The sequence below is a fragment of the Homo sapiens genome, chromosome 6 (assembly GCF_000001405.40).
Source record: "Homo sapiens chromosome 6, GRCh38.p14 Primary Assembly".
Lineage (NCBI taxonomy): Eukaryota > Metazoa > Chordata > Mammalia > Primates > Hominidae > Homo > Homo sapiens.
Genome location: NC_000006.12, coordinates 152,287,377 through 152,308,268, shown reverse-complemented (window position 1 = coordinate 152,308,268; position 20,892 = coordinate 152,287,377). Strand labels below are relative to the sequence as shown.

At 39.3% G+C, this 20,892-nt stretch overlaps 1 protein-coding gene across 49 annotated transcripts in view, besides 3 other annotated features; it reads left to right on the top strand.

Annotated features, from left to right (window-relative positions):
- The window catches only part of SYNE1 (spectrin repeat containing nuclear envelope protein 1), a 515,676-nt gene that overhangs the window by 329,094 nt on the left and 165,690 nt on the right, over positions 1-20,892 (top strand). For 41 of the 49 annotated variants that reach the window (XM_047418508.1, XM_017010610.2, XM_017010609.2 and 38 more), the window contains 4 exons: positions 6,206-6,400; positions 7,488-7,628; positions 14,142-14,309; positions 14,520-14,681. In XM_047418508.1, coding sequence (XP_047274464.1) covers positions 6,206-6,400; positions 7,488-7,628; positions 14,142-14,309; positions 14,520-14,681 — 666 coding nt within the window. The remainder of the gene's footprint in view (positions 1-6,205; positions 6,401-7,487; positions 7,629-14,141; positions 14,310-14,519; positions 14,682-20,892) is intronic. The other 8 variants (XM_017010615.2, XM_017010614.2, XM_047418511.1 and 5 more) reach the window with 1 other exon arrangement.
- Positions 5,820-5,889: an enhancer, noted in NCBI's record as "active region_25288". NCBI's record gives its function as "activates an Ori minimal core promoter by ATAC-STARR-seq in GM12878 lymphoblastoid cells {active_cell/tissue: GM12878}" and the evidence as "EXISTENCE:reporter gene assay evidence [ECO:0000049][PMID:35858748]".
- Positions 6,040-6,439: an enhancer, noted in NCBI's record as "active region_25287". NCBI's record gives its function as "activates an Ori minimal core promoter by ATAC-STARR-seq in GM12878 lymphoblastoid cells {active_cell/tissue: GM12878}" and the evidence as "EXISTENCE:reporter gene assay evidence [ECO:0000049][PMID:35858748]".
- Positions 6,490-6,539: an enhancer, noted in NCBI's record as "active region_25286". NCBI's record gives its function as "activates an Ori minimal core promoter by ATAC-STARR-seq in GM12878 lymphoblastoid cells {active_cell/tissue: GM12878}" and the evidence as "EXISTENCE:reporter gene assay evidence [ECO:0000049][PMID:35858748]".

The following is a 20,892-nucleotide window of genomic DNA, read 5'->3' as shown; positions in this document are numbered from 1 at the left end:
TCGTATTATATCCTTTGGGACCCACTGATTATCATCTCCTGCACCCAGAATTCTCACAGTTAATACACTAAAACACAGTCCATACCCTGTTTTTAATGCCTACGAGAAACAGCAACGCTTAAAGCTTTGCTGCATTGATCTCTGTCTTGGTGGCTCACTCCTGTAATCCCAGCACTTTGGGAGGCCAAGATGGGTGGATCATGAGGTCAGGAGATGGAGACCATCCTGGACAACATGGTGAAACCCCGTCTCTACTAAAAATACAAAAATTAGCTGGGTGTGGTGGCATGCGCCTGTAATCCCAGCTACTTCGGAGGTTGAGGCAGGAGAAGCACTTGAACCCAGGATGCAGAGGTTGCAGTGAGCCAAGATCGCGCCACTGCACTCCAACCTGGCGACAGAGTGAGACTCAGTCTCAAACAAACAAACAAACAAGACTTAATATTTTAAACATTTTCTTCTTTGACATATTAGTCATTTCAGTTCCTCTCCCCAAAATCAGAGGATGGTCCAGGTTGTTTACTTTGCTAATTTTCAGATTGGGCCAGCTAACATGTGCCTCGTTTTCAAATGTTCTTTCCTTGTTCCTTTGGCATCATTATGACCTTAGGACTTGACCACTCCTTGTGCAGTCCCTGTCCCAGACATCATAGTCCTTGAGTGATTGAGCTTAGCAGGGAATTTCCTTTCCTGACCTGTCAATTCCATATAGGTCAAATTCACTCTTTCCCTTGGGGGCTGGTTCATAGCACTGTGAATTTTGGTAAATAACTGGGAGAAGGTTGTCTTATTTTTTCTGTACTAAGGATAGAGTATATGGAATATATCCTTCCATATGCTCTATTTTAACTTTGTCATGAGAAAAATGAACAATTTTTCCAAACCACTCACATTGAGATTCTCAAAAGATTCAAGGTATTGCTTTGTAAGGATGAAAAATCTCACCCTCTTCTCCAAATGCAATTAATTATTTAATTTCTTGACATCTACAAACATTAATAATTTTCATTTATATATGACTTACAAAATCATTTAAATATCCCATCTACATTTACTCCAACAACTGTAGACATCATCTATGTTAATGATTTTTCTTACACAATGGTTAAATGAAAGTGTTATGTAGATTTTTGAAACCACTGTTTATGTAGGTCTATATGTTAGACTATATATTACATATTTATTTTGAAACGATTTTTAATCCCATCTAGGAAGATCCAAAATTTTGTTGTAACAACTCTTCTATCATGGTACAGATATTTTTAAAATCTTTTCTGGAGTAATAATTGTTATTACTACTAAACTTTTTTGTTGTACGGTTTTTCTTCCCCAAGAAACTTGTGCTTTTTTTTTTTTTTTTTTTTTGAGACACAGTCTTGCTGTATCATCCAAGCTAGAGTGCAGTGGCAAGATCATGGCTCACAGTGGGATCATGGCTTATTGCAGTCTGTACCTACTGGGTTCAGGCAGTCCTCCCACCTCAGCCTCCAAGTATTTGGGACTACGAGCATGTACCACTACCTCAGGCTAGTTTTTGCATTTTTTTTTTTTGTAGAGTAGAGACAGAGTTTCGCCATGTTATCCAGGTTGGTCTCAAACTCCTGGGCTCAAGTGATATGCCTGCCTCAGCCTCCCAAAGTGCTAGAATAAAAGATATGAGTCACCATGCCCAGCCAGCTTTATGTTTTTTAAAGTAACTTACAAAATTTTACATCACTTTTTTATACCAACTCTATGAGGTATTTATTTATTTATTTATTTATTTATTTATTTATTTATTTTTTAGATGGAGTCTCGCTCTGTTGCCCAGGCTGGAGTGCAGTGGTGCAATCTTGGCCCACTGCAACTTCCACCTCCTGGGTTCAGGCGATTCTCCTGCCTCAGGCTCCCGAGTAGCTGGGATTACAGGCGCACATCACCATGCCCTGATAATTTTTGTATTTTTAGTAGAGACGGGGTTTCACCACGTTGGCCAGGCTGGTATTGAACTCCTGACCTCAAGTGATCCATCTACCTTGGCCTCCCAAAGTGTTGGGATTGCAGGAGTGAGCCACCACGACTGGCCGGGGTAAGGATTTTTTTAAAATCATCTTTATTTTACTGACAAAAAAACTGAACTTAGAAAAAATGACTTCCTGAGCTCCTAAATCTAGTAACTGATTGAAATTGGACTCAGTCTCAGTATCTTTGTGTCCAAATTCCGTGATTTTTCTTCCACTGTAACAGAAACTATCTGGGCTACTTAATTAAACAAAAGAGAATAATGAAGTCCCAGGAAAATAAATGAGTCCCCCAAGGTCACAGAGTGAACTCAGCTCAGTCAGCAGTGGACTATGTCTTCCTGACTCTTGGTCCAGTGAGCTGTTTATTTTGTCACATTTTCTTCCACAGTTCTGAACATCCATGTTATGTTTGTTAGTTTTAAACCAACTGTGACTTAGAACACATTTTCATGTAAAAAATGATGCAGTCCTGTGTGAGCTTCATTGTATGTATAAAACAAACACAGGAAGGAAAGTGCTGAGTGGAGAAAGCTTAACTGATGATAACATACAAATTGGGAAGAGGGTTTCTGCCTGTATTTTCTGTCTTGTTTTAATTGAATCTCAATCTTATGGTGAATCTAGTTTTCTTACAAATAACTTTAAAAATAACTGATCATTTATTTATGCCTAAGGAATTCAAACTTTTAAAAATAATTTTTCGGCCAGGTGTGGTGGCTCACACTTGTAATCCCAGTACTTTTCGGAGGCCAAGGCGGGCAGATCACAAGGTCAGGAGTTTGAGACCAGCCTGGCCAATATGGTGAAACCCCGTCTCTACTAAAAATACAAAAATTAGCCTGGGTGGTGACGGGTGTCTGTAGTCTCAGCTACTCGGGAGGCTGAGACAGGAGAATCGCTTGAACCTGGGAGGTGGAGGTTGCAGTGAGCCAAGATTGTGTCACTGCACTCCAGCCTGGGCAACAGAGAGAGACTCTGTCTCAAAAAATAATAATAATAATACTTTTTCAAAAGTTGCATTTAATTTGAAAAAAATCATCCTGCCACTTTTAAATCATAGGAGAGGATACTCACACCTCTTTTCTTTCCGCCTGATGCGGAAAGCCTGCTCATGAATACCAGAGACTGGCCACAGAGGGCTGCTTGTCTTCTAGCGGCCACTCTACCTGAAATTCCTACCTTTATAAACATTTTCAGAAATTTTATAAAGAGAATGGGTAACATTAAACCAAGTGTTCCATTTTATTTTAGTGGATTTGACCACAGCTTGAATAACCAACCCTCAAAGGTAATGAGATTACAAGAGGTTTACACTTACAGAAGCAAGTCGTAGAGTACTATTTCTCAGTGGAAGTCACGTGCATTGGAGTCACATGGGCTAATTATGAAGTGCAGACTGTCATACACCTGGTAAATCAGAACCTTTGGAAGTGGTGACCAGAGTTGCATTTTTTAAAGAAACAATCCAAATGAGTTTTGTACACAATAAGGTTGAGAATTGCAGCTTAAGAAATGGTCACTTGCTGTCAGTGTGGGCACATCTTTGCAGGATACTGTAGCAGGGAGCTGTGCCCAGCCATGTGATTACAAAGGGTGGAAGGCCTAATACTAACTCTGTCTACTTCATAAAGATTCCTCAAATTGCCGGGCATGGTGGCTCACGCCTGTAATCTCAGCACTTTGGGAGGCCAAGGCAGGCAAATCACTTGAGATCAGGAGTTCGAGACCAGCTTGGCCAACATGTCCCTACTAAAAATACAAAAATTAGCTGGGCATGGTGGCGCGTGCCTATAATTCCAGCTACTTGGGAGGCTGAGGCAAGAGAATGGCTTGAACCCCGGAGATGGAGGTTGCAGTGAGCCGAGATTGCGCCACTGCACTCCAGCCTGGGTGACAGAGCGAGACTCCATCTCAAAAATAAAATAAAATAAAATAATAAAAAAGATTCCTTCAATTTTTGTATAATGGCAAACCATTGTGCGAAAGCTTGGTGACTTGAAATTCAAGGAGTCCAGTAATCTGCTAGAGCTCTTTTCTAGTATTAACTAGTTGCAGTAAATGTCATTTATTGAGTACCCACGTGCTAGCCACTAGACAAGATATAGTAAATAGCTATTCAATCACTGTTTTTAAAAATCCTATTAGGTTTAATTAACTGCATCCCCAGAGGTAAAGAAGCAATGATGTCTACTTTTTAAATCCTTGTTTTAAAAATTCCTATACTATTAGGAGTCAAGAAGACTGACTGCCTGCTGGCTGAGTTCTGCTGGACTGTTTTTTGCTCCACTCGGCTTCAGTTGGGCAGGAAGAAACAAACAAAACAACAATAATAACAAAATGTGTGTGTGTGTGTGTGTGTGTGCATGTGCACACGTGTTTTGCATACAGTCAGCCCTCCATATCCATAAGTTCTGCATCCATGAATTCAACCAATCATGGATGGAAAATATTTGAGGAGCAAAAAGGATGGTTGCATCTCTGCATGTTGATCTTCTTTTCTTGTCATTATTCCCTAAATTGTACAGTATAACACCTATTTATAATGCATAGCATCTACATTGTATTAGGTATTATTAGTAATCTAGAGATGATTTAAAGTATTTGGGAAGATGTGCATAGGTTATATGCAAATACTATGCCATTTTACATCAGAAACTGGAATATCTGTGAATTTTGTATCTAAGAGGGTTCCTAGAACCAACGCCCCTCAGTTACTGAGGGATGACTATGTGTACATATGTGTGTGTGCATGTGTATATGTGTGTGTATATATATGAATGTATGTGTATGTATGTACACAATTATTTTAAAGACATTACAATTTAATATTTTTGTCACAAAATGTGTTCTTTTTTTTTTTTTTGAGACAGAGTCTCACTCTGTTGCCCAGGCTGGAGTACAGTGGCACAATCTTGGCTCACTGCAACCTCCATCTCCCGGGTTCAAGCAATTTCTGGCTAATTTTTGTATTTTTAGTAGAGACAGGGTTTCACCATGTTGGCCAGGCTGGTCTTGAACTCCTGATCTCAAGTGATCCCCTCGTCTCAGCCTCACAAAGTGCTAGGATTACAGGCATGAGCCACTGCACCCGGCCCACAAAATGTGTTCTATGTGCACAATAAATGACAGCCTCTGAAACAAAGAAGCCAAAAAAAAAAAAAAAAAAAGAATAATAGTTTTGTACTTTTAGGAATCATGTTTTGAAATATGTATTTTCGTTTTTTAAAGATGCAATAAAGTATAATTTTAATATTTGATACTTAAAATATTTAAGCAAGAAAGTAAAACTTTAATATTTTAGAATTACCATACTCCTAAAATGAATCTATAGTTACCTTTTTAAGGGTTATGTGCTATCCAGATTATATTTCCAATAAGCTCTTAATAAAATATTTAAAACCTCTATCTCTCATAATATATTTTTTCATTCTTGTCTGCTCAAAAACAAAAACAAAAAAACAATTATTTTTTCAAAAGCAAGTGAAATTAAAAGACACTAAATCCGAATTGCATTTCAAGTTTAAAGTTCTAGTTAAAGCCTCAGCAACATTTGAGACATGATGAAGTGAGCAAGAAAAAATTTGATGAATATACAAAATTTTTTTGGGGGGTCAATCTGCATTAAAAATTGGGATTTCCATATGCAATATCTAGCCTATCTAAAAAAAATTCTTAGAGACATAGGAACAGACAGGCTATTGAGTATGTGACCCTATGTAAAATAAATGACTGTCATCTCTGTTGAATGTACTCAGTAGGGTAAGAGCTGAGCCTTGCATTTTTTTTGGTGTGGTTTTAGCCATCACATGACCTAATTTCCATGGCAGGAACCATCTGGTAAATTTCAGATGCTTTCTGCTTTTAAAGAGAGTTGTCAGTTCCTAATGTTGCGGAAGTTCATGATTCCATATGGGGCCTCTCGCGATTAGAAACCACTCATTCGGCCTCATCCCCTCATTTCTCCTTTTGTACCGACGCGGGGACGCGGGCTCGGGCACTTTGGCTGTGCCTGCGCCGCGCCGCGCAGCCTGCGGTCTGGCTCGGTAGCGAGATGCAGGAGGACTCGCCGCCTACACATCCTGCCTCCCGGGCCCGCGCGGCTCTGCGCGCTCATTGGCTCGCCCTGCAGGAAGATGAACGCTACTACTTCTGTTTCCTTTTGATGCTGCTCTGACACCCCGGTGGGGGAAATGTTTCCTCAGGAGCTGGCGCAGAAAATTAAGGGCTACCAGGAGCAGATCGCTTCTTTGAATTCCAAGTGCAAGATGCTGACGATGAAAGCCAAGCACGCCACCATGCTGCTGACGGTGACCGAGGTCGAGGGGCTGGCGGAAGGGACAGAGGACCTGGATGGGGAGCTCCTCCCCACGCCTTCGGCCCACCCCTCTGTGGTCATGGTAAGGATCCAGTGGGTCCCCGCGGCTTTGCTCTTTGACTGGAGCCTGGCGAGTGGCTCCATGTTCCCTCTCCGTGGCTGATTTCAGGGACCAGCCTTCGATCTTGCAGATTCAGAGGGAGGAACAGATTCCTTAAGTCTCTTTGACTACCGTTGGGCCGGGCCAATCTTTGACACTGTAAACAATGACAGTTAAAATGAAACTATGTGCTCGAGACAGCTGAATTACTTAACATGTCAGAGGTCTACCCTGTATTTGTTTATAATTTCGCAATAATACTGAGAGGCTCTGAGCTTTAAACAATAATTTACTTGCACAGTGTTTTAGTTGTCTGGGGGATGGGAAATTCATGGCATATATATTTAGTTGTGGTCTCCACGCTAACTAGCTAACTACATATGTGCATGTACTCTACTGTATAAATGTGTAATACAATTTAGAAGAACAGCTATTGTTAGAAAAATATGAAAACAGACCGTCTAAAGCTTGGCTTTGGATTAAAATAAATCAACTTTGTTATTTTCTATTCTGCACCACTATTTTCCTATACACTTGCCATCTAAAATGCATTGAGTATTTTGGTGACTATAATGTTTCCCAGTGCTGTGTGTTTTCCCTTATATGTGCTGTGCCTCAGGTAATGAGTAACCATACCTGAGCCCATTTGGCAATAACAGTACTTTGGGTGCATTTATCTTCCTACCATATTTGAAACTTGAGATGTCCACAAAAGACCAAGCTTTATTTCACAGACCTTTTCTCATTTGTATGATTCGTGATTTTTCCAGTTATTTATAAAGCCACAAACTCTCCAAAGAAAGGAAAATAATGAAGTATTTAATCAACAACAAAACTTCAATGTCATATGCACCCCCATCCCTGATTGTTTTACAAATGATTACTAGCATCATATTCTCTTGAAGACAGAACTTTTAAATACTAACACAGGATTAATATGTGAATTCGGGTCCCAGTAATTTTAACCTTCGTTTTATAATTAACTCTGTTTTGGCCTGTGCCTGAACAGGACTTATGTTAACATAGCTAATTGATTTTCATGTCCTTTGGGCTACATTTTACGTGGCAGATGACTGCAGGTCGCTGTCACACTTTGCTGTCACCGGTCACTGAGGAGTCTGGGGAGGAGGGAACCAACAGTGAGATTTCCTCTCCACCTGCCTGTCGCTCCCCTTCACCTGTGGCTAATACAGATGCTTCTGTTAACCAGGTACCTCCCAGTTGGCATTCCTCTAGCAATAATCTCTGGGCAGATGCAGGACTCCATTCTCTGTTTCCATTAGATCGTGGGTATGAATCTCAGACTTTGTTGCATTTGGTTCCAGGGACACACTATTAGGTGTTATAGTTGCACAAACTATGATTGTCATGTGTCTCAGTATGTCATCTCCTCTCCTGGGCTACAGAAAGTGGGATGAACAAAAATTAGGTCATGGGAATGATAGCCCAGAAGGCTCTGTTTTAAGACATTATGGCCTTAGTTTCCAGCAATCATCTGGAATGGGGTTCTGCATCCAACAGAAAATAAAAGATGTGTGTCACCATTGTAAAATAACGTGATTCGATGGCTTTATAACATGCATTGAAAATAGTGCTGGCATTTACCAGCTCAGATTTTGAAGACAGGAAACTTCCATTTATTATGTCAGACTTCTTCTTTATTTGCAACTTGTGTACCAATGTAAGGAATGTCTGCCATATTTATACTAGAATGCCTACTAGATTTGAGTGTTTAACTTATCTTTCAATAATCTTAAATTTTATTTTCTATAAAATGGGGAAAATAAAATAACCATTTAGTTATAAGAAGCCTTTTACCATGTATTAAATGTAGATAATACTAAATTAAATGTCAAAAAGCTTTTATGTCAAATGTTAGATAGAAATCAAAAATATGCCTTTATAGTAACCAAAGACTTTTAATGCATGTTAAGTAATACTTTATTTTTTAGTGAAGACAACTAAAAAATGTAAACTATTCTATGAAATTACATTTTTTCAAAGAAGTTGATATGTATTATTAAGGGAGAAGCATTAAACAGAGCAAATGTTTTATAACCTGTATTATAATTCAATTATATTACTTTTATTTTAAAGCAGAAGCATTCAGACTGTCATAGGATTTCTGTGATAAAGAGAATCCCCCCTCATTAAAAAAAAAAAGGAACATCAAGGTGATGAAACCTTTAGTTAATACACTTACACTGTTCTCTTGGTAAAAATCAGGATAGCTCTAGGGAAATTATCAACTCATCCATTTGTCAAGTACATTCTGACACCTGCTCAGCGTGAAACCTTGTGTTGGTTCCTGAGGATGCAGCTGAGAAGGAGTCAGCATGGCCCTACCTGCAAGGCCCTGACAGTCTAGAGAGAAAGGCAGACATGGGACAGATAATAACAATGTGATCAGAGGAAACTAAAAACAGCAACATAAAAGGAGAAGTTCAGGGAGCCGTGGGGAATTTGGGAAAGTGTTTTTCAAATTCTCATTTTAAAATATGTATTACTCATTCTTTGATGATTTGTCCTTCCCTATGGTTACAGATGTTATTACAGAAATTAAGCTATAGTCGGCTGATTATTATATAGAAAAAATTGTTCTATTTAATATGGTTTAGGTTCTCAAATTTTTCAAACTGAATAATAAATACTTATTTGAGACTTTGTGGAAAAAATATACCTTTTCTAAAACTGTAAATCTCCATGCTACTTCTTGTAAAGTGTCAAAGGATACATGAAAGTGCCCTAAAAATGATGAAACATGCAAATATTTCTATTATTATTTCTTGACATTAACCACAAAGCTTCATCAGGTCCTAAAACTCAGTGAGATTAGGCTTTGTTTTAATTCTTCCCCTCTCCCCTAGTCACAGGAAAACATCAATTAAATTGCATTGTTAATCTAAAATACTTACATGTGATGCTGCAAAGTAGGGGAAAATGCCTTTACTTAGATTAAGACACACAGCTTTACTCTGAGGGAGCTGTTAAAAAGGAAATGTATTATGCTTGGTGTTCATCAAACAAATCAACCCCATCATTACGGCCACATGTTATTTTTGTATAGTAATGTCAGTTAGAAGACAATGAAAAAATATGACACCATGACCGGTGATGCACTGGATTTATAAAATTGTCTCTTGAAACTGAGGAGGACATGTAGGATCCCCTTAAGTTTCAGTTTTCAGATTAAAAACCCTGAGTTTTGTGCACAGAATGTGTACAGCTGTTTCAGGGAGCAGCCAAATAGAACTGCTTTATAAAATCACAGTTGTTAAAAAAAAAAAAGGTTTTGTGCCTGCTGTTCCTGCAAGTAGATCTCCGTTATATAACTACCTGGTCCCACTCACAGTGTATTCTGTCTCTGACAGTAGCTATTAGCTAAAATGTAATAACAGTTTAGCTTACTTGAAGGTAGAAATACCGAGGCATTCCTAGATTTTGCTGTAGGCTTCTTGATTCCCCTTAGAAGCAAGCCAAGGCTTAGACTCTGCAGAAGAGTTGAGGGAGGAATACATTTGAAAAGAGGGAGCAAGAGTGTAATGGGAAAATCATTGGCCTTCAAGTTAAAAGCTCACACTGAGTTGCAGCTCTTTCTCCTCTAAGCTGAGTGCACCTGGGAAGTCCCTTGATACCCTCATTTGTAAGTGAGAAGCAATACTACTTAATTCACAGCATTGTGAAAATGAAATGTGACATGAATCGTGAAAGTGCTTTTTAAACTAGAAAATACTGATCAAATAGTAGCTACAGTTGTCCAAATTTATTTCCTTAGGAATCTACTCATAAGTCTTATAACTTAGGCACATAAGCAATGAGAAACGTATTTGTAACAGTGACTCCTCACTACATCAAGTATTGACTTTAGTAGTTATTTATAGTACTGAGTGATTTATTTTAATTCAATTTATGTATGTACCTCAAATAAATAGAAATTATTCATCTATAAAAGGTGACATATTTTCAAATCCTTTTAAGAAACCAGGAGTTGTCATTCATATCTGTAGGCATGAGCCACGTGCGCGCGCACACACACACACACACACACACACACACACACACACACACAGAGTGAGACTGCCAGAAAAAAATTATTTGTAATAAATTTATTTTATTCTAGCTCTTTTGGGAGCCTTCTGTATTTATAATAGAGTATCTAATGTAAAATGTTTACACCATTTAAAGGCATTCCTGCTTTTCCTTATGGACAGTAATAGTATTACTTTACATGTATATAAAATAATAGAATTTATATAAGTGCATTTACAAGCATGATTTATTATGAACATATAGGCCTGCCTGTTATTTGCCAAACACTCCACAATGTGCTCAGGATGAAGACGAAAAGCAGTGACCCAGACAGCCCTTAGGGAGCTTACAGTGTGTGTGAGGACAGGCAAATGCTTACAAGAGAAGGTGGCAGGTAGTGTGGCCGAGGGCAGTACAGTGTTGTGGGAGGGCCTAGAGAAGGCACCTAAACTGGCTGGAGTCAGGCAGAGGTCAAGGATGGCCCCCTTTAGTTTTAAGGGAGGAGCACAGTTAGGCAGTTGGAGTGCAGTTGGGTCGTGTGAGATGAAGATTTTCAGGCAGAAGAAACCACCTGTTGGAAGCTGTGGAGGCGGGAAGCAAAATGGCCCATCCAGGCAACTGCAAATAGTTTCAGTGTAATTGGAGAAACATTGGAGGAGGAGGAGAGGGGGAAATGAGACTGAGAGGGATATGGGAACCACATCATGGAGGCCCTGAATGCCACAGGAAGGAATTTCAGCTTCCTCCAGAAGCTAATATTTAACCACTGAGGGAATTTAATGAGAAGCTGTGTACAGAACTGATACTTCTGGATCAATGTGGACAGGAGAATAGAAGTGTGCAAATTCAGAGCCAGGGGAGCTGTTAGAAACAGAAGTTACACAGTCTCATGCTTGGTCCACCCTGGTGATAAAAATGAGAGAAACAGGCCAGGAGGGACTACAGAGGCCAGGAGGGACTACAGAGGCCTGGACAGCTCCTGCTCCACATAAATGAGGCAATGTCTCCTCTGTTAGCATTACTTTAACAAAGACACAGGGCCCAGTGTTACCATACCTTGTGGTTTGCAAAACAAGCTACGAATGTGAATTTTAATGAAATCTCTCTATCTTCATGAAGAGAGATTTTAAACAATTTAAAACATTGTATAAGCCACACTAAATATGTGCAGGTCAGAGGCAGCCCACAGGCTGCCAGTTTGCAACCTTTGAGTTAGGAAGCTGTTACTGTAATGAGAACTTGAACCAAGGCTGTGGCCAGGATATGCATCGTTAGCACTCCATCCTCCCATAAGCAGTGGATGTTAAGGGGGAGGAGAAATCAGGAATAAATCCCAAGTTTATAGCTTAGGTGAGAAGACATTCCATTTATTGCAAGATGGATAATACTTCATTGTTTTTTCCTAAATTGGTTCCTTTTGGAAATGTTGACTTTGAAGAGCCTACAGGATATGCATGAACATCTGGATATGTGAGTCTGGAGCTTATCAATTCACCAATATTGGCGAGTGAGTGGAAAACAAACTATAAAAGAGAAAGAGTGAATGACTAGAAAGCTGGGAGGAGAACAGAGAGATTTTTTAGAAAGTGTTTCCGGAAAGGGTTTGTCAGTGCTATTGAATGCTAGAGGTCTGGCAAGGGAAGGGATGAAAATTCATCATTTTTTGTCAAAGAGAAGAAGCTGGTGAGAGCAAGCTCTGCAGTCATCAGGATCAAAGTCCAAACTGGAATTTAGAAGTGGATCGAGGGTGAGAAAGTCCCATGAAAATCACCCTTTCAGAAGTTGGATTATGAAATGAAAGGGAGAAAACAAAGAAATTAGGATGGAGCCTGTGTGTGCAAGTGCATTCACGTGTGACGATCCGTCACATTGTGAACTGTGGACTTTTTAGAAAATGTGATATCCTTCAAGAAAACAAATAAAAGAAACAGTGCGTGCAGGTGTTTTTGGATGGAAGAGAGAAAGTCAACAAAGCCAGAGAGGATGTTAATAGACCAAGATCCTTGAAAAAGCAGTTTATGGGATTCTCAGAGTCTGTGGGAGAGTCAGGTTTAAGCAGTGAAACTGGAAAGCATAAGATAAGGGTGAGTGTGAATATACATAGACTTTTGAAAATTTGAGAAGTTGCAGTATCTCCTTGACAGCTTGGATTGCATGTGTATGTGTGTGTGTGCGTGTTTGTGTGTGTATGTGTGTGTGTGTGTGTCAGTAACACACACACATGCATAAATGACTCTGGATTGAGTCATGTTTGCGGGTTTCCAAGTGGATGAAGTAAAGGTTAAAAGAGCAAGAGAAACAAGAGTCTTGGCAAGAAAGGGGTTTAAGTAACTTCAGACATAACTACAAGTCCAGCTGAGCGATGACAGCATACAAGGGTGTGGAGGACTGAAGTGGGGTGGGAGTGAGTGAGGATCAATGGATCTAAAGCTATTAAGGACATGAAGAGTAATCCACTCAAGACAGTGACAGGGTTAGGAATAAAGAGGAAGCAGTCTCCATGTTCCAATATCATCAATAAATGTTGGGGACTCATCTGGAGACCTCAGGAACAACAACAAAATGGGTAGAAGCTGTCATAGTCACTCAAATATTATTTCATATAATCCTCAATCCCACCCAAGATTGGACCAATGAGTGAACCAGTGTGCAAGATATAAGTTATTTGCTCCAATTATATAGCTACACAAGAGGAGAATTTCGCTAGAATCTCAGCTGTCCCAGTCTGAATTCATTCTACCGCATGACACTGCTACATTTGTTTCTCAGACGGCTGGAGCCTTCTTCAATACTTTTTACCAATACATGATTCTCAATAAGACTCAGGTATTTTAAGCTGACATAATTCCCTTCAACAGTACAACTGCAAAAGCAATGAACTTTATAATAGCAATTACTCCCCCAATTAAATTTCTACTGAAATACAGATAAATAACCATAGAAACAGTTAAAAACCATCTTTACTATATCTCTTGATATATCTTTACTATATCTCTTGATATAGTAAATTTTATCAGTACAAATAAAATATGTAATGTTATAATAGGTTTAAAAAATTTGAAAGCATGATATTTCATCATTCACTTTGTTTTTTTTGTGTGTATACTTTTAGGAAATGCATAGAAAACCTTTATATTATTTGTTTCTTAGAGTAGTGGTAACTTCCCCATTACATTTTTCTTATTTAATATCAAAATATTTAAATTAATTCAGCAAATGATGAACCCACAGATAGTGAAGATCTGGCTGCATCTGTAGATTTAATTTTATTTAAGTCAAGTAGTTTTTAAATTATTTAAAACTTTAATGAATACATTCGACAACATTTTAGGAACTAGATCATTAAGATTCTCTTTTTTTGCTATTCTAATCAACCTTTAAATACATGTGTACTGCTTAAATCCTTTGTATTTCCATTTAACAAACATAGAATAAGATTGAGTTTTGGCAACTTGAAATATTGGTAAAGTTGTTTTTTGATATATATAAACCAAAATTCTGAAACAATTACAGTGTGCTTTGATACAGTCTTTACATTTTTCTTGTCACAAGAGTTTACTAATTTACTAGTTTGTAGTGCCCCATGAAAGGTGTAGATCTGAAACCTTTCCTTGACATGACCAACAGTACCCAGAGCATATTAATCTAGACTTTGTCTTTTTGTTTAATTCAATACTGTGCTTTGCACTCACAGGACATTGCATATTACCAAGCCTTGTCTGCTGAGAGGTTGCAGACAGATGCTGCAAAAATTCACCCCAGCACATCCGCATCCCAGGAGTTCTATGAACCGGGATTGGAGCCATCCGCTACTGCCAAACTGGGTGATTTGCAGCGTTCTTGGGAAACCTTAAAGAATGTGGTAAGTCTTCAAGGTGGACTAGTTTATGCCCACCAGACACCAGTAACCTTAGCGATTGTCTTATGAAATACATGCAGAGAGTTTACATATCCAGTCCACAGTTGAGTACCCTATGTTGGGCCACAGAGGTAAAGCACTGAAGAAAGAAATGTTGTAATCTGAAAGATAAGGGGCTGGGAAGCATTTGGTAATATCCCTTTTCTGGTGTAGATCAGTGAGAAGCAGCGCACACTCTATGAAGCTTTGGAACGCCAGCAGAAGTACCAGGACTCCCTCCAGTCCATCTCTACGAAGATGGAGGCCATTGAGCTGAAACTCAGTGAGAGCCCAGAGCCTGGCAGGAGTCCAGAAAGCCAGATGGCTGAACATCAGGTACAAATAGCCATGACTTCAGTTTCCTACTTGATTGAATAAGGCACTGTTGTGACTGGTTGGCCTGTCAGGCATGTGTTTGAGACAGCCAGGTGACTTTTTAAAAATTTTTTAACCTTATCAGTTCTTCCAGAGTAAACAAGGGTCCTAATGGTGGTCATTTCTACTACTGATTCAGGGAGGGATCTGAGAAAAAGAGAGAGAGGGAGAGAGAGAGAGACATGCAGACCTTGAATCTAATTAAAGAAAGCTACATGCATTTATGTTGCTTTTTAACTTTGATTACACAAAATGTGTTTCCTTAGAGTTGCCAAGTTATTTTGATTTTGTTGTGAGCCATTGTTGTAAGAATAAAATATACTCCAAATCTACCTTTTCTCGATATTGTTGTTTTAAGAAACTTAGCCAGGGGGTGCCCCTCCATTATCACTTCAGAAAATACATCTCAGACTTCATAAGTTCTAAGTCTCATCTTGTGATTGTCCCTGACTTAAATCATTTTTTAAAAGGTTAAACTAGGCAAAATATTAGCTTTACATGAAAAACAGAGATCATTACATTAATCTAATGCAGAAAGATAATGTTAAAAATGTGTCAAGTTAAAATGCATGCTAAGAAATGTTCAGAAATTAAAGTCTGGTTAATACTTTAGCAGTCTAATGAGGTACGCTGTTAAAATTATATTTATTTTGTATAACTGGGGTCTAAGGATACTGAGGCACACATTCTCCTACATATTCATCACCGTGAGGTAGGAAAATGCTGCCTGGCTGGGACAAGAACCCAGGAGCATGTGACAATCCTTCAGAAGGCAGGAGGAAAGAAAGATATTTTTAGATGTTAATTAAGAGCTATGAAAGCATGGCATGGTAAGCATGTTTATCAACACAGGGTAACTTAACAGCTTTAGGAGTGAAACGTTGTACTTTGTCTTTCTTCTACTTTACATCTTTCTAGTTTTGGAAGCAGGATAACCTTGGAATAGACTGCCTGTTCATATGTGTAGTCAGATAAAGTTGCATTCTTTTGCAGTATATATCTTTCAGTATAACATAAAAATGAGAACATTTCATCTAGAGACAGCATATTGAGAAATAGTGGTTTCAGGTTTTTTACACTCTTGTGACTTCTGAAGATAGAGATCGAAGTGCATAGCGTCCATTTTTAGGCCTTATTTTGGTAAAAAACTACCTTCTGTAGGTCTTTCTGCTATCCCACAGTCACCCACCCTTAGCCACATTTGCAGAGGATGCTATGAAAGCACGAAATGAGAATTAACCCTTGTTATCCAAGACCAGACCAATCAGGAGGATGGTCAGGGGCTTGGGGGACTATTCCAATGCCATTTACTTCTGAGCTTCCCCCATTTTATCACTAGACTGCTAGTCTCCCAAACCCCTCTCCTTTCTAAAGGGGCCTCAGTGTCTCCCAGTTCTCTTTAGCTGCTACTTCAGTTTTCTGTTGCCAGCGGCCACCTCTTTCTGATCTGAAGGGGTGTCCCTGTTGCTCCAGTGTGCTCCCTGTGGCTCCTAGGTCTTCCTTGCTCCTGCGGTTCTGTCTGTCCAGCTGTTCCCTGCACCTCTGCTTCACTGTACTGGAAGGAGCCAGAGAGCTTCCTTCAGGTTGAGTATGTGCTCCTCAGGCCAACCTCGATGGCTGTTCTGTAGGAGGCCCCGTTCTTTAAGCATTCAGAAGGAATATAGTGTAAATTATGCAAGGGCTGGATTAGAGTGCATTTGAGAGTCACTCACTCAGATTATCAGATGACGATGTTGCAGAAAGTTTAAGTAGTTTGACCCTCTCTCCAGCTTCAGGACATCTCCACCTTTGTTCAAGCCCCCATTCTTGTGGCCCAGGAGGCTGCCCACAATTGCCAAAGACCCATCACTGGCTCCCACAATAGTTAGGAGCTGCATGAAAACAGGATACTGGTGGCCTGCTCTGCCCTTCCAGAGTTCGTACATGAAAATGCAAGTTAGCTTCCAATCAGCACCACCACCCTGTTGCTCAGGCATTAGGATGGAAACACACATAAACTGAATGTGGAGCAAAATGATGATTCTGTTCAAGGGATTTAATGGAGACAACTCAAAATTGCACATTAATTCTGATAATTATAAATTAGAAGTGAATCTGTGACTTTTCTTGTCATTAAGGCCAACCACATGACTTTTTTTCCCTTTCTAAGTTGGTAGTAGTCGTACTAGCCATCACAGCAGTAAGGAGGTACAGCTAATTTAGTGAAGATTACCAGTCATTGGGGCTTAATGGTTTATTAAGAGAGAAAATATATTAATATATCATATTAATATAATTGCATATATTAATATATCATATTAATATAATTGCATATATTAATATATCATATTAATATAATTGCATATATTAATATATCATATTAATATAATTGCATATATTAATATATCATATTAATATAATTGCATATATTAATATATCATATTAATATAATTGCATATATTAATATATCATATTAATATAATTGTATATATTAATATATCATATTAATATAATTAGAACATATTAATGTTCTAATGAGAGGGAAAGAAAATAGCAATAATGTAGAATTTAGTATATAATTTCATGTATCATCACATATTTCATCTGAGCTATTTTTGCTACCTTTTGCTGTCTGTGCCAGAAGTTCTACAAGTTCTGGAACACAGCTGCCCACATGAAAAGCTGGTGGTATCACAGTATCTAAATTTGTTCTTAGCTTCAGGAATGGTACTTTAAAAATGTCAAGCACTGTTATAGAATTACTATTTCTAAATTTCAACTGAATGGGTGTGAGGAAGTCCAGTATGGTTTTTTATATTTCCTAAAAAGTAATAGAAATACTTTAGTTTTTATTTCTTTCCCAACACTCTCTTGGAAGTATTCATGTTTTTTTAAGGAGGTAACCTAATTCCTACATTTTTCCTTTAAACACTTGTCTAAACTACTGAATTTGTGTGGAATGCTGTGCCTTTCTGGTTATCCTCTCTAAATTGTCTTATAGATTTCTTTTTTTTGAGACAGAGTCTCAGTCTGTTGCCCAGGCTGGAATGTAGTGACGTGATCTTGGCTCACTGCAACCTCACCTCCCAGGTTCAAGTGATTCTCCTGCCTCAGCCTCCCGAGTAGCTGGAATTACAGGTGCTTGCCACCACGCTGGACTAATTTTTGTATTTTTAGTAGAGATGAGGTTTCACCATGTTGGCCAGGCTGGTCTCGAACTCCTGACCTCAGGTGATCCACTTACCTCGGCCTCCCAAAGTGCTGGGATTACAGGTGTGAGCCACCATGCTTGGCTGTCTTACAGATTTCATTTTAAGGTTTGAATGCAGTTCATGAGCTGACTTGTGGCTGTTGTACTGACTGTTAAGCCCTCTGTCATTGCGACCTTATTATCATGGGCATCTGATGCTTTAGGGACATGTGTTGCCACACAAAGCTCAGTGATATATAGCGCACAGAGGTCTGTGGTTATTTTGTTTTGTTTTGTTTTTTCATATATGTAACAACTAAAATAGAATGTGAGAAGAACTGTGGTCTCTCATCTGATCTTGGAAGTTAAGCAGGGTTGGGCCTGGTTAGTACTTGGATGGGAGACTGCCCAGGAATACCAGGTACTGTAGGCTTAAAAAAAAAAAAAAAAAAAAGGCTGGGCGCGGTAGCTCATGCCTGTAATCCCAGCACTTTGGGAGGCCAAGGCGGGCGGATCACGAGGTCAGGAGATCGCGACCATCCTGGCTAACATGGTGAAACCCCGTCTCTACTAAAAATACAAAAACTTAGCCAGGCATGGTGGTGGGCGCTTGTAGTCCCAGCTACTTGGGAGGCTGAGGCAGGAGAATGACGTGAACCTGGGAGGCGGAGCTTGCAGTGAACCGAGATTGCGCCACCGCACTCCAGCCTGAGCGACAGAGCGAGACTCCGTCTCAAAAAATAAATAAATAAATAAATAAAATAGGAAACATTTCAGCCTGGCCAACATGCTGAAACCCCATCTCTACTAAAACTACAAAAATTAGCTGGGCATGGTGGTGCACACCTGTAGTCCCAGCTACTCAGGAGGCTGAGACAGCAGAATTGCTTGAACCTGGAAGGTGGAGGTTACAGTGAGCAGAGATGGCAGCTAGGTGACAGAGCAAGCTTCCATCCCCCTAAAACAAACAAACAAACAAAAACTTGTGTTCATGTAGACAGTTCTGAAGGTCACATAAGGTCCGTGTTTCTTTTCACCCTTACTATTAAAGAGTTTTTATGTTAGAGAAGCTCATGGAACTTCTCTAAGCTATGTAAGTGTCATACACATGCCAAGTTTGCAATTACAAATCAGAAACCCAAAAGCATGCATTTCATCTCTTTCTCCTTATCTTGAATCATATATTGTCGGGTAGCTGCTGGCCACCAGCTCTTATACTCAGAGTTATGGGACTGAAGACATATTTGATGGCTAAATTTTTTTTAATTGAGGTGAAATTCACATAGCATAAAATTAACCATTTTAAATTGTACAATTTAGTGGTATTAGTACATTCACAATGCTGTACAACCACTGTCTCTCTCTGGTTCCAAAACATTTTTATGACCCCAAAAGAAAATCTCACGCCCCCCCTGAGCCTGGCTGCTAGATCTTGAAGTTAAAAACTCTAGCTACCTTCCAAAAATGTCCACTCATCTTTAAGAGTAAACTCAAGCATGAGTGGAGAGGACTGCTTCTAACAAGATTTAAGTGAGGCTGGGCACAGTGGCTCACACCTGTAATCCCAGCACTTTGGGAGGCCAAGGCAGGTGGATCACTTGAGGTCAGGAGTTCAAGACCAGCCTGGCCAACATGGTGAAACCTTGTCTCTACTGAAAATACAAAAATTAGCTGGGCGTGGTGGTGCAGCCTGTAGTCCCAGCTACTTGAGAGGCTAAGGCAGAAGAATTGCTTGAACTCAGGGGGCGGAGGTTGCAGTGAGCTGAGATCGTGCCACTGCACTCCAGCCTGGGTGACAGAGCGAGACTGTCTCCCAAAAAAATTAAAAAAAGATTTAAGTGAACAGTTCCAGATTTTCCTAATTCCTTTATTACTGACTGCAGAACATTCAGAGAGCTATTTAAGAACATTGTGAGTTTTAAATGGCAGCTGATACCTTCAGTGCACACCTGGTTGGTCAAAGCCAATGAGATTTAATGAGGTAGTGCTGGTGAGAGTTACCAACACATCAAACAGAAAACAGAAATCTGCTTGTGGGCTACAGTTAGTGGAAAGTAGGTTAAATGAGATCTAACAAGGACTTTGAGGAGACAGAGTTTGAAAATTTGGAATGGCAACAGGAGTGGGTAGGAGGCACTATAAATGTAAATGTGTGTGGAAAGGCACAGAAGAGAGGATGAGAATGAACACAGTGTGAAATTGTTAGGAGGCTCTTCTTGCTTGTACAGAAGGATCAGTGTAAAAAAAAAAAAACAAAGACATAATAAGATCCATCTAATTATGGAGGAGCATTTAAAATCAAACCAAATATAGATTTTATACTTTTAGCATTCAGGCACAAAACATTATTATGAAATAATGGAAAATAATTTACTGAATGGAAGTTTTTGAATGTATAATACTTTGAATGTATAAAAAATACTTTGCATATATAATAAACAATATCAGTCTGTAAATTCATTGCAATCACGTTTTAAAAATTGCAGCAAGTTTTTTGGTGGAGGTTGACAAGCTAATTCTAAAGTATACTGCAGGCTGGGTGCGGTGGCTCATGCCTGTAATCCCAGCACTTTGGGAGGCTGAAGCGGGCAGATCACTTGAGCCTAGGAATTCAAGACCAGCCTGGCCAACATGGTGAAACCACATCTCTACTAAAAATACAAAAATTAGCTGGGTGTGGTGGTGCATGCCTATAATCCCAGCTACTCTGGAGGCTGAGGCAGGAGAATCACTTGAACCTGGGAGGCAGAGGTTGCAGTGAGCCAAGATCTTGCCACTGACTCCAGCACGAGCAACAGGGTGAGACTCTGTCTCAAAAATAGTAATAATAATAATAAAGTATGCTGCAAATGTGTGGGAAAATATATATTAAAAATGCCAGAAGTAAAGAATAACCAGGACAGTCTTGAAAAAGATTAATAAAGTTGAAAGATATATCCTACCAGATAGGGAGATTTATAAAGCTACAATAATTAAGATTGTGTGGTATTTGCACAAACAGCC